The sequence below is a fragment of the Homo sapiens genome, chromosome 4, assembly GCF_000001405.40.
Source record: "Homo sapiens chromosome 4, GRCh38.p14 Primary Assembly".
NCBI classification, from domain to species: Eukaryota; Metazoa; Chordata; class Mammalia; order Primates; family Hominidae; genus Homo; species Homo sapiens.
Genome location: NC_000004.12, coordinates 30,729,780 through 30,744,167, shown reverse-complemented (window position 1 = coordinate 30,744,167; position 14,388 = coordinate 30,729,780). Strand labels below are relative to the sequence as shown.

At 35.4% G+C, this 14,388-nt stretch overlaps 1 protein-coding gene across 3 annotated transcripts in view; it reads right to left on the bottom strand.

Annotated features, from left to right (window-relative positions):
• PCDH7 (protocadherin 7) overlaps nt 1-14,388 on the bottom strand; it is a 426,432-nt gene that overhangs the window by 402,633 nt on the left and 9,411 nt on the right. The window contains exon 2 of one of the 3 annotated variants that reach the window (NM_002589.4): nt 11,195-13,415. The exons of the other annotated variants lie outside the window; for them this stretch is intronic. Within the exon in view, the coding sequence (NP_002580.2) occupies nt 13,380-13,415 (36 nt within the window). The 3' untranslated portion in view covers nt 11,195-13,379. Of the gene's footprint in view, nt 1-11,194; nt 13,416-14,388 lie in introns of those variants that run through there. 3 annotated transcript variants of the gene reach the window in all.

Here is a 14,388-nt window from a genome sequence, read left to right as displayed (position 1 = left end):
ATACTGACTTCTGACTTCCTCTGAGACAGTGAGAAAACAGCTTGGCGGGAAAAATGAAGATAGCAAAAGCTTACAGGATGCCACTGAGGAAAGAAAAGAGCAACACCTCAGACTATCATAAACTGACTGTTGTAGAGCATTCTAAAGAATCAACGGAGATAGATTGCCTACAATCCCATGTCTTTCAGGAAGATTGCCAAGTACAGAATTTCTACTTTGCCCACGTCATTATTCTAGTAATTTTCCTCCACAACTTGAAATCTAGTGAGATAGTTAATAATACTTATTCTGAAAGCAGCTTTCAAAAACGCCAATATTCCCCCAAAGTTTCAATGTTCACCAAACTGATTTTTTTTAGTTTGCAAAGATAAATTATGACTGATTTAAAACATAAAGTAGTTTGAGCTTGTTGAGGTATACGTGTGTGTGTGTGTGTGTGTATGTATGAGAGAGAAAGATTGAGAAGAAGGATTGAAGGAGCAGAGAATGCTATGTTTTATTCTGTAGGATTTTCCTCAGAGGCCGATATTTTTTCAGGTTTTTTCAACTATAAGTTTAGGAGAAAATGTAGTCAATCATAAAAGTACAGAAAGATACAACTTCCTATCTATATTCCCTTAGTACCTTTATTTCTATCTTTTTCCTTTGATGAAAAAGTCCCTCCCCCACCCAGTTTTTTTTTCAATTATTCAGTAAAAAGGCCCAGCAAGAAACCAGCTTAAGTGATAAAAAAGAAATAAGCCATTTTTTGAACCCCTGAGCAAAATCCTTGATTTTTTTCCTTTTGTAAATTAAGACTTTCCTCTCTAGCTCTGAAGCATATTTTCTCTCCTTTCTTCAATAAGACATTTCAGCTTTTGCGCAGAGTGATAAAATAATATGTCTTCAATTCTCCTCCACAGATGAATGCTAGGAATAAAATGTGACAATGTAACTCTGCTATTTTTGGTTACAAGATATTCTTTTCGAAAAATCTATTTTTTTCCTTAGGAAAATACTTAGCTTCAGTTTTTGGCATCATTATTTTATTTTTGTTTATATTTCCCACCATCTTCCCCAAAGCTAGTTTATTTACAATAACATGTAATCGATATTATATTAATCAATAACCAAAGTGTCACTTGGATTTTTATAGTGTCTTACATTTCCCAGAGAGTATTAGATGAATTAATTAAAGAACAGAGATAAAGAGAAGTTGAGTGATTTGCTCAACATCAGAGATCAAGACTAAAATAAATCTTGTAAAATCTGTATCTGCGTCCTAGCCAGGATTGTAACCACTAATATGATGGCATATTGTATGGTAAGTTATGTGGCTTTTAGATGTGAGGATCTTTCTGCATTTCAATTTCTTTTGATATGAAGCAGTATGTGATGAATATTCTTTTTCTTTCTCATATGAAGCCGAATTAAAACAAAATTCACAGCTCAAGTGGCAGCACTCTTTTAGTATACTAATGACAAAGATCAAAAGGGCATCACACCTGTCAACTCTGAACTCCAGGCAAGTTTCACAAATATGCATGATATAATAATTAGGACTAGAAATGTTTCTGAATTTCCTTTGTTTAGGCTTCACACAAATCACTCTCATTTTCTTTGCACAGCATCTCTGTAGCTTAAAATGTAGAACCCAGCATTTCTAAAGAGAAATGCATATAGCCATATATACATGTAGGTTGTAAAAGTACTATATTATATGGATCAATTTGTTTTTTCGAAGCCATGTCTGTTCTTCCTTCACGATGTGCATATGCTATCCTATTAACAGCAATACGACACAGTGGAGACATCAGACACTTCATATCCCTCCAGGGTGTGCCTTCATCTAATGATTAGCAAGCAATATTCTAGATAATATTTGAAATGGTAAGCATAAATTCTTCATTAAACTATTTGTCTGGCTAAGCAGTGCAGTTACATGATTATTTGCCACTAGGAAGCCCTGACTTGTGCTCTGACAATAACTGTTCTAATTTTACAAAAAAAAATCAAAAATCAAAATTAATAGCCATGAATTCTCAAGAACTGATAAACATACAATTTTATTATTAACTGTGTGAGGTGAGTGTTTACACTATTTTTTACTGAGGACTGAAAACAACTGCCACTTGTCTGAATGAATACAAAGACTCACAAGCGTATTCCTGGTGTATCCAGGAAACATCTTGCAAGAATGATAATAATAGACACAGAGCAAATCATAAATTTCATGAAGTTCTTACAATGAGATCATGCAAAACACGCTGCATCCTCAATCTTTTCTTCTTCTCTTGAACCCTCCTTGAAAGCATACAAATATTTTCATTGACGTTTATAGATTCAAAATTAATTGTCCACTTTCAGACACTAAATTTGAAACAGCTTTCCAAATCGAGCCAGATTGTTCCATCCCCTAATTTGCTTATACTCTACTCATATAGTAATTGCAGATTATATTTGTGGTGCCCACAGTCAGTCAGCAAATAACAAACACTATTCAACTTCCAGAGTTACTTGCCTCTAAGTTGGTTGTTTCCAACTGGGAGTTAAACTTTCAAAAGAATGATAAGGAGGTTATATGTTGGGCATTGGGACCTGCAGGGGATTGACTGGGTTCCTTACAATTTTAGCATACTTTATTTCCATTCCTAGGAAAAAATGCAATGGTGGCAATGTTTTAATATTTATTGTTGGCCAGGTGAAGTGGCTCACGCCTGTAACACCAGCACTATGGGAGGCCAAGGCGGGCAGATGGCTTAACATCAGGAGTTCCAGACCAACCTGGGTAACGTGGCGAAACCCTGTCTCTATAATTTTTTTTTTTTTAACTAGCCATATATGGTGGCACACACTTGTAGCACCAGTTATTTGGGAGGCTGAGGTGGGAGAATCACCTGAGCCCGAGTGACACACTCGGCTCTAAAAAAAAAACCATCTACTGTTGAGTAAACAAAACTCTATAAATGCATAAGTGGACTAAGGAAACAGCCTCGCATAGTTAATTCACTAGTTTTTGAAGTCTAAAATTTTAAATCATTCTAATGATATATCAACTCAGATCATATGTATTAAAAACATTATATAACCGATATCAAAGTTATATTACAAAGATCATATTTTGAGATATCTCAGTTGAAAAAAAATCCTACAATGAAAAGCATCATCCACACATGAAGAACACAATGTCACAGCAAAAAAATCACTGCACCATTGCTTTCATAAAGAATTAACTTCAGATGGGCTTTGGTATTGCTTATGTACACTTTAGCTGATTAAAAATGTTTCATATTCTTTGAAAAAAAAGCATGTATCATAAAAATTTATATAAATGCTTTTAATAAGAAGTAAAATGATATTTTTTAAAAAACTGTTAGATGACATAGGTCATATTTTAATTGACTATTTAATAACGAACAACTAATTTAGGTAAAACTAGAATCTTGTATAAGTAATTCACTTTCACTTTATTTTCTTTCAAACATTGTGAAAGATTAAAAAAAAACCTCAAGAGAAAAACATGTATCTTTTTTTTGTAAAAGGTAAACAAAATGTACTTTTAAAAAAATCCTAGTCAAAATGTTATTCTCTATGAAAAGGCATTTTCCTATCCTGAATCAATTGGCAATCAACAAAAATAATGAAATTATTTTTTCCTACCTGTACTAATGATATAAATAACAAACTATATACATAATGAGTGAATTGAAGAATATTGAAATAAAATAATGAAAAAGAAAAAATATTTTATGAAGTGTTTCCCAAAAGCACAGGATAAAACTGGTCTAATATGCATCTTCCCATCTTTTGTTTTGCATAAGGTAAGATTTAAGGTGAAACTATTTTTTAAAAAATTGGACAGAGTGACCTAATTTCAAGAACATAGTACAAGATACTAAAATAGCAAGGTTGAAATATCACTGAAGGGAAGAGAAGCAAGGGAATCCAATTCCATTCTCACAGAACTAGTTGGCTGTAAAATAGATGTGTTCCCTCTACTTCATATATGCACAGTGGCAGAGAGAGTGGCCTCTGCAGCCCAACTGTCCTTACCTAAACTTCAGTTCTATCACTTTACAAATTGTGTGACCATGAGCAAGTTACTTAACGCTGCTGCACATTGCTTCGAAAACTAAAAATGAAGATAATTATAGGTGTTGCTTTATCATTATTATCACTATTTAATGAGTTAATATATGTGAAATATGTTGACCAGTGCCTAAAATATAGTGTGCAATGCAAGTTTAGCTATTTATGTATTTACATATTATCATTGATATACTATTTACATATTACAACACTAAAACTGAAACTCCACGAAGGAAGAAACTTTTTTCTGTTTCATTTACTACTTTTTCTCTGGTGCCTGGAATAGACCTTAAGCATAATTGGCATATAGTAGTGATTCACTATTTTCTTTCTGAAATGTCAACCGCATTACCTCTTTCTGTGTGTTTCATGTATGTATATGTATATATGCATATGAATACGTCCACTACACATAAATACATACACACATACATTTCTTATTAAAGGTAAAACATTAAAGAAAACATCAAGTTTTAGTAACAGAGTAAATTTTAATATCCTTGACCTAACAGTATAAGCATTAGTTTGGGAAAAATCCAGACATTACCATCTATTGTTCCTAAATCCAACAGAAATACCATCTCTGTATATGAAATTGATCCTTGTGTTCAACAGTTAAATACACTGAAAAACAGATTTAGATGCAATTTAAAAAATATATATTTGTTTATACCATCATTATTGCCATTTCCCTCAACAAGGGAACTGTTAAAGTTTATAATATTAATTGTAGAGGGTCAAATGTAAAATTAGCTCTAGAAGCTTAGAAAGGTACTTCTTAGAAAAAGTCTATTCGCTGTTACATTTTGTTGCCTAGAAATGCTGACCAAAGGAAAAGAAGGAGGAATTTCCCCTTCTGGACTTTGATGAGTTTATCCTGTATTACCCTCACAAAGTCATCACTCCTACAGCACACTGGAACACAGATATATATATATAATATATATATAAAATATATATATTTTTATATATAAAATATATATATATAGTTCCAGGTTGCTCATTATTAATTTTATCATGGGAAATTTTTATTTTATTTTAAACATTGAAAAGCACAAAGGGAACAAAAGCATAATTTTTAATTTGTCCATGGATTGGTCTCATGATAAAACGTGTATTGCATGCGTACATAATAATCGTGAAGAGTCACTCAGAGCGTGGTACCAGCCTTGGTTACATGCCTGGCAGTTTCCATATGCCATGAGAAATCAGACCCACTGGATCTATGTCAGACCAATTATGCCACTGTGCATGAAAATCCACTGAGACTGTGCTTTCATAAGAAGAATATTAAGACTACATTTCTGTTTCAACTGACTCCCTCTCCACTTAACTCCTATTGCTTTTCATTTTAATGCTGAAAATGCACTAAAATTTTAAGACTAAATATGAATATTGCCATTAAAAAGAACTGTTAAATTTGTGAAACAGTTTTTAGACTGTTTCATGTAAATGTTGATTTTACATTAATTAATATACCCTCATGCACTTATTGGTTAGCAGAATTAAGAAAAAACTAAGATGTTATTTAATGTCAGAAATCTCCATGAAAGCTTAACATTGCAGACAGCAGTCAGTGATGTGCCTAATAAGTTAGATATAGTAAGCTAAACAATGTATTTTAAATTTGATGCCCATGCAAACGTAGTATAGATTCATATATTTTTCACAAAAACGATAGTAATTGTACCTTTTTTTTTTTTCAATTTAAGAACAGATCCATAAGGTTGGTTTTTTGGAGCTCATCAAGGGAAGGAAAGTTTCCTTTAAAATGGGAAGCGTACTTTCCCAGGAATGGACGGGCTGTGTGTAATAAAGACAAGCTCATGAAGAAACAATGGTCCAGTCCAATGTGTTTTTGCTCAGAAAATAATAGATTCTGTCATGGACTAAATCATGCCCTGTATTCTCCAATGTGACTGTACTTGGAGATAGGGCCTTTATGGAGAAAATTAAGGTTAAATGGGGTACTAAAGTTAGGGCTCTAATCTGATAGGACCAGTGTTCTTATAAAAAGAGGAAGAGACACCAGAGCTTTCTCTCTCCACTCAGGCACAGAGGAAGAGTCACCTGAGGATGCAAAGAGAAGGCAGAGACCTACAGCCAGTAAGAGAGACCTCATCAGAAACTGAATTTGCCAGCACCTTGACATGAGACTTCTAACCTCCCAAACCAAGAGAAAATTAACTTCTGTTGTTTAAGACACCCGGTCTGGGGTATTTTGTCATAACATCCTGAGTAGACTCACATAGATTCTCTCTACTAACCTGGATTTTTTCAAATGTAAAAAAGAATGTTATCAAACTATTGTGAGTTTTTCCTATACTACCTAGTTTATGACAACAAGCTTTACCTCTCCACCTTTACCAGGGACATGTCAACAGCACTGAAAGTCATTCTCACAATACCCAGTGCCTACTGGTATATGTGGAAGGCCACACTCGGTTGATGCACCTTGATCTGAAATTATTGTAACTTTGAAGACAGTGACTAGGATAAGAAGCTATCACAAGATCAAACAAGTGATAAGTGTAACAAATACATACACACACACACACACACATATGTATACATACGTATTTTTTGAGACAGGATCTCCCTCTGTCACCCAGGCTGGAGTGCAGCGTGAACACAGGTGACTGCAGCCTCAACCTCCTGGGCTCAAGCGATCCTCCCACATTTGCCTCTCAAAGTGTTGACATTACAGGTGTGAGCCACTGCACCCAGCCTATATTTTAAATATAATATATTGAAAACGCCCCCAAAAGTGTAAATGCAACTGAAAAAGAGGTTAGAGAAATTCATAGATAATTAGAAATATTCTCTTCAGTTGCTTTAGTGCTTCAAAAAGTTGCAAATGTTTTATATGACTCCCATAAACCCTGTCATGTAATCAGAGCAGGAGTTATAATCTAAAGTGACAGAAGAGGAGTTTCCAGAGACTTCAAGACTTGAACGGGACTTCACAAGGTCACACCAGCCAATCAGTGACAGAGCTGGGGCTAGAAGGCAGATTTAGATTCCCTCATCCAGCTTTAGTTTTCTATTTTTCCAGAGACCTTTGAGGAGTAAACCAGTAAGAAGGTGGTAAGAATTTCAAAAGCTGTAACTCCCAATTTCACTAGCGTAGCTTACATTTTGCAATCAGAATGGAGAATAGGGGTTAGTGTTAAAAACTCAGGTTTCTAGGCGATAGAACAGACTTCCTAGAACTGATTTTCTGAGAATGCGGCATGCAAAACCTGCATTTAAAATGACATTTGTGGCCGGGCGCGGTGGCTCACGCCTGTAATCCCAGCACTTTGGGAGGCCGAGGCGGGCGGATCACGAGGTCAAGATATCGAGACCATCCTGGCTGACACGGTGATACCCCGTCTCTACTAAAAACTCAAAAAAATTAGCCGGGAGCAATGGCGGGCCCCTGTAGTCCCAGCTACTCGGGAGGCTGAGGCAGGAGAATGGCGCGAATCCGGGAGGCGGAGCTTGCAGTGAGCCGAGATCGCGGAACTACACTCCAGCCCCGGCGGCAGAGCGAGACCCCGTCTCAAAAAAAAAAAAAAAAAATAAATGAAAATAAATAAATAAAATAAATTAAAAAAACTAAAATGACATTTGTGCCAGATAAAAATCACAGGCCTATTACACTTGGTTAACACAGTCGCACACCACATTATGAGATCACCCCGATTTTTTAAATTAAAAACAGTTTTAATTCCATTTAATCTTTATTGTTTTGCTAAAAGATTACAGGTAAATAAATGAAATATATTATCTCTCAAATTATTGAAATATTTAGTCCATCCAACCAGTATGGGGTAGGAGAGCTCTTTACATTTGGTCTGCTCTAAATATTCCACAGATTTTTGTTATTTGTATTTTTTCAAGTTTCTTCCAACAGTGAAAAACAGGCCTTTGTTATCCTCTTTAAGTCTCAGCTTCCTCCAGTTAAGTTAGGGTAAGAAACCACTGTGTGGCAATAATGTGTCAAAAGTGGCAACTATTTTTACTATACTTGTCTAACAGCAGTAGAGAGGAGTCGGGTATGGTGCCACGCAGTTTTTCTGCTTTCTTTTTCCCCTTTTTCTTCTTTGTACTCCTCTATCTCCCATAAGTATGAGAGCAGAAAATGAATGGAGATGAAGCAGTTAGACTGAATTTTCTAGCCTGAAAACAAAAACCAAACCCAAACAAGCCACTTGGTCTAAATAGGAAGAAGTGGTTTCCTACTTTTTCACACGAATCTTGCAATCATATAGCATGATGTTTACTGGCATCCTTATGGTCACCAAGGCCCTGGCCCAAAATTCCAGGCCACAAACATTTGCTTTTGTCAGGCTTGAACATCCTTCGCTGATAGAATCTCACCCTACCTCCCCAACTCCTCGCTAGAATTCAAGATACGTTAACACAAGTCTCAGTCTTCTAAGCTACCCAAGGTTACCCCATCTTTCCTCAAGGCCCTAATCAAAATTCCCGTTTCTTAAGGACTATTGATCTCTGTGAGTTGCTGACCTAGTTATCCACTTAGAGCAGTTTACACCCTGGCGAGCTAAAGTCTGAACCAAACTGCTTCAGGGGTCACTTACGGTCAGTTACACTTTAAAGGAGGAGTCCTTCGAAAATTCTGGGCTGCTCAGAAGTGACTTTCAGTTGCAAGGCATCGCTCTGCTCTCAAATCACTGCCCGTTGCTCTCAAGATACGGCATATACGTCCTTGCTTAGTAAACCAAGATATGCCCCGCCTCACCTTTAAACATGGCTGCTTGACATTTGACTGAACAAAGATGGAAAGTTTATCGGTGAGCATGGATTAGCACAACGAAGGAATAATATCTGCAGGAATATATCAGTTGACGAAAACAGAGGTTTGTGGGTGTGTTTGTGTGCACATGTATCTACATCTTCTCCAGATAATGATATTCAGAAAAATGCTAAAAACCTGTACGTTTTTGTGATTGTTCTTCATACCCCCTCAAAATGTCAAAGTGTACTGTACGACCAGTGCGTCTCTTACTTGCCTCAAACATTTGCTTGAGTTTAGCTTGTCTAAGGCTTCCGTGCTTACACCACCAAGGAGAAGAAGGGAAGCGGGGAGATCAGAGAATTGCCCATGTGCTACCGAAACAAGGGTCACACACCACACAAGGAAGGCAGGGACTCCGGCCAACACAGCAGGTAGACTTTCATCTTGGAGACACCCACCCAGCAGGGGCAGAAAATAGCAACTATGAGATTCTCAGAGCCTAATATAAAATAGCCACCCCATATTCCAACAATCCAATGTGGATGGATCTGCAGGCTACCTAGCAACAAAGCCTAGGCCCTTTGTTTATTTGTTCAACAAGCATTTATGAGTGCCTCCTCTAAGCCCAGCACTCTACTGGGCACTGGAAATACTGTGATGGCAAAAAAAACTTGACAGCAGTCCCTCTGAGCTTCATGTCTCCCTTGCCTCATATATATTATTTTTCATTGTCCTATGTATGAAGACAGGGAACTTATTCTAGTTGTTGTTGTATCTTCACTCCAAAGCCTTTCAGTGTGTATTAAAGATACAGAAAATTATGGCCAGGCGCAGTGGCACAAGCCTGTAATCCCAGCACTTTGGGAGGCCAAGGTGAGTGGATCACTTGAGGTCAGGAGTTCAAGACCAGCCTGACCGAAATGGTGAAACTGCATTTCTACTAAAAATACAAAAAATTAGCCAGGCATGGTGGCAGGCACCTGTAATCACAGCTACTTGGGAGGCTGAGGCAGAAGAATCGCTTGAACGTGGGAGGCAGAGGTTGCAGTGAGCCGTGACTGTGCTGCTGCACTCCAGCCTGGGCAATGGAGCCAGACTATGTCTCAAAAAAAAAAAAAAGATAGAAAATTAATACATTTTCTAAAAAATGAATGGATTAAAAAAGTCACGCACATCAAAGAAAGTGTTTTGCAAAGTTGCAGATAGAAAATTATTCCCAGAGAGATATTTCCAACTGTGGAATTGCTCCCAAAAGACTTTGGTAGGTTTTTTGTGTGTTTTTTTTTAAGATAACCTAAAAAATAAAGTTAGGGTTATAAAGTGATTTGCCTAATTCTTGAGGGTTTTGTTTTTTAATCACATATGTGGCTGTAGTTCATAAGTCCAGTCGAATAATTGGATCTCCAAATTAATCCCACAAGCATGATTTTTTAGTAGTATGAAGTGCAGTTTGTGACTCAAAATGTTTGAAAAACTGGACCTGTTTTAAGGAATTCTTCTATATTCCAAAACATACATTTCAAAACTTCCCTCAAATGTTTTCAGTACTCTTGAATTATGACTGAATATTTTTTTTCACAGACGTTATAAGGTTTTTAAGTTAGTTACATTAGAGTCGTGAAAAACCTGTTCATTATTTCAGTATCCTCACCTTGGTAAACTGGTGCTTTTCCTCACAGTTTGTTCTGTGGTACAAATAAGCAAACATGTATTCAATGCTTTGAAGTTTAAGAAGCATGATACAAATATAAACTATCATTTTTCTGTCCAATGTGGTGGTGGACACCTGTAATCCCAGCTACTCAGAGGCTGAGGGAGAAGGATCCCCTGAGGTCAGGGGTTCGAATCCAACCTGGGCAACATAATGAGACACTTGTCTCTTAAAAAAATAAAATAAAATTTTTAAATGAAACGAAGTAACATTTTTCTGCCCTGTTATCATCTTTATAATATATTAATTCCATGAGGGCAAAGACTCTATCTTATTATTCTTTTAGTACCAGGACCGGTACTGATAGATAAAGGAAAAAACTTTATCCAAAGGATGAACTACTCTAAAATAGACCAGTCTCTAGCATCTCATATTCCTTCTCAGATTTTGAAATGGAGAATTAATTATTGTCTTCTAGTTTAAAATAAAATATCCACATGCTAAACTATACAGGGTAATATGTGGTTTGCTCTGTCTAAACCTGTCCGTTGTCCACAGGCACCTCCATAAATGGTAAGTTCCAGTAATTACAAAGGAGACTCACTGACCTAGAGACCTGAGTTTGATAGCAACAGCTGGGTGAGGAATAGCTGGGGAGGCGCTGGGCATGGTAAGGGACTGGGGAAGGGGGACTGGGAATCTGTATCTGGTCAATAAACCAATGGCACGTGTTCAAAGATTTTTTGTTTTTAATCACAAGAATAGTAGAGGAATGGTAATAGACTTCTCAAAAGCTTTTTACTGTTGATAAATGTTGCTGTAATCAGTATGCTGTTGATCATTCTGATTCAGCTTAATAGTACACTAAAATCCTTGAGAGTGTCAGCATTTTTTTTTCTTGCTTTGATTTACTATGTTTTTCCAGTCATAATAGTAAATAGCCATAACTTCCTACCCCAGTCTAGAGTGCTGGTTCTCAAACCTTTTCAACTGCTTCCACAATAAGATATATTTTTAACATAGCAACCGAGAACAGAAACACACACCTCCACACAAACACAACTGAAACAAAAATTGCACAAGTCAATATTTACTCTTACTATGGGTGATGTACTCTGAATTTTTCTATTTTATTTTGTACTTTTCTAATTGTGGTAGAGACTCAATAAATTGATTCATACCTCAAGAGTGTGTTGCAACCTGTTTAGAAAATGCTAACTTACAATGTTCTTCTTTGTGAAGGTATTCATAAATATCACTTCTATGTGATTGCACATTAAATTAACCCAAAATTCTAGACTTTGATTTTTCTGTAATTTGTTTTTGAGTTGATATGACTTGTTACGGGATTTACATTTGAAGAATATCTAGTGACGTTTACTATTTGGAATGAGGAAAACAGCATTTTCAAGAAGCAGAGATTGGTAAGGTTCCTTTCACCAGTTTCTTACACTAGTCCTTGTGTTCAAAACAAAATGAGAGGTTGAGGATAATTAAGTTTTATACAGAAATCTTACTGTACTTGCAGTGATGTTTCTGAAAATTTCCCTTTTGCAAGATTAAATACACAGCTTATAAAATGAAAATCCTCAGGTATACATTAGAGATTCACAGGGGTTACAGTGCATTTCCTATCACTTCCAATGGCCTTCCAATATTTATTTATTTATTTTTCTTAAGTGGCTATTATATTGAGAGTGATTCACCAAAAAATCTTGAGAATTTGGCATTCTTAGTTCCCAAATTTGTGGAAAATTTTAATAGGGCAGACAGCGTGGTAAATGTATTACAAAATTATTAAACTTTACATATGGAACACTTATTTTCTAGGCTATTTTCTAGGCTCATAAACACATACGACATAACAAATAAAGACATAAACATACAAACATAAAGAGGTAGAGGGGCCATCCAGAGGACTCCCTGACCTACCTATAATATTGCTTATACAACTAAAATTCAGTCACTTGCTCTCTCAATAATATGTAACATGCTGAACTCTTTGAAGCTGCTTGAGTTTACGTTATCTGACATCAAATAGGATGTTTAATAAATATGGACTTCTGATAAACGTAGTCCATAAAGAACAGAAAGCCACATATTCCTTCCGAATGTGACTACAGTGACTTTAGCAAATGAAAGTGAAAAGTTCTAAATTTTCTTAAAGAATTAAAAAATAAATTCAAAAATGATATAAATATCTTGGTCACTATTTCAAGATTAAGAAAAAAATCAATCCATTACAGTGCCCATTATAAATATAAAAAATTAATTTCTCAAACTTGTTTTACAGACAATATTTTTATAAATATTGCTCAAAGTTCCAGCATATATATATATATACACACACACACACACACATATATGGAAACACACACAAACACACAAAACAGCATTTAAAAATACACACACAGAATGAGCAAAAGATATTATCCTTCACTCTAACAAAACTATCTGACAGGCCTGTGATTACATGGCACTTAAAAATATTGATCAATTTAGATTTTTATTCAAAATCAGTATTTAATGTATTAAAGACAAAGACATAAGAGGCTGAATTTCCCTTTGTTCACACAAAGTCTCAAACTTATTGTTGCAATATGCTTTTGGATTTTTTAAAAGACATCACTGTTACGTCTAATAGGTGCTAACCGCCTCTTTAAGAATGGAATTTCTGGTGACTCAGACATCCATTAGTAGCACATTTCTGCATTAATACTGTTTCATACATTTATTTTATTTTCATACTATTTTTCTGTATATGAGAAAGAAAAAGACTCAAAAATAAAATGTACAACAAGTGGAACAAGCAGTGATTGGCTGACACCCCACGGCCAAGGGCAGGCTCCAGCAGGTTTCGGAGTAGAAAGGTCATCACAGTATGGTGCATAATGGAGCATCATATTAGAGTGGAATTCAGCCAAACACAGTAATGTATGGATGTAGACGCATCTGAAAGAAGGAAAATAAAGATTTATGCAGGTAAAAAAAAATCGATAAAGAAATTTTCCCCAGTGTCTTATGCCCAATTGGAAAGCTTTAGTAGAGATTTCGGAGCTAAGAAAAATTTTAATGCCAACTTTGTGTTTGTAAATAATAAATACACTTGGGGGGTGGGGGAAGTTAACTTGTCAGAGGAATCCTACCTGGGAGCTTTAATAGCTTTTTGTTTGTACACAGCATTAGAGTTCAATACAAACATCACTACATTCCTGAAAATAAACCTTGATTCCGCCTTTAAAACATTAATTCACCAGAAGTGATAATTAAGATTAGTTTTAGTGGTTTCAGCTCAATTCTTCTTAGAATGTGATTTTTCCCACAACACTAATGCTAAATAAAGCACAGTGTAATGTACCGCAAAAGAGTCACTGCTTTAGAAAAGATTCTATGGGTTTTTTTAAAAAAACTAAGAAAAGCAAAGCTTACTCTAGATATATGGGAACAGCTCTTACTATTTCTATAGAGTCATAGTAAATAAATGAATGGGAAACCTTGCCATAGTCTAGAAATCGATTATACACTCTTTATACATGACTATTCTAAACAAAGTCATGTTATATATTTAAAGTTATATATATATTTAAAATACTGTATATAATTATACTAAATCTCCTACATAATCTCCACCACCACATCCTCCCAGGAAAGAAAAGATGTTAAAATGTTTAATAGAGTAGATTGCTGTGTTGAAGTAATGGCTTTGTCACACTATATTTAGTTTTTAAAATAGTTCAGATTTTATTTTTAAAATTAATAGATTCAATAATTTATATTTTATCACTGTGCAAATTTAGAATCTAGTACACTAGATTGGTTAACTGCCTAACAAGGAAGCAATCCAATTGAAAGTTAACAAAATGTCATATTCTTCTAAAAACTTGCTAGAAAACAAATTAAGAGAAAACATTCGTGCATGACTGTG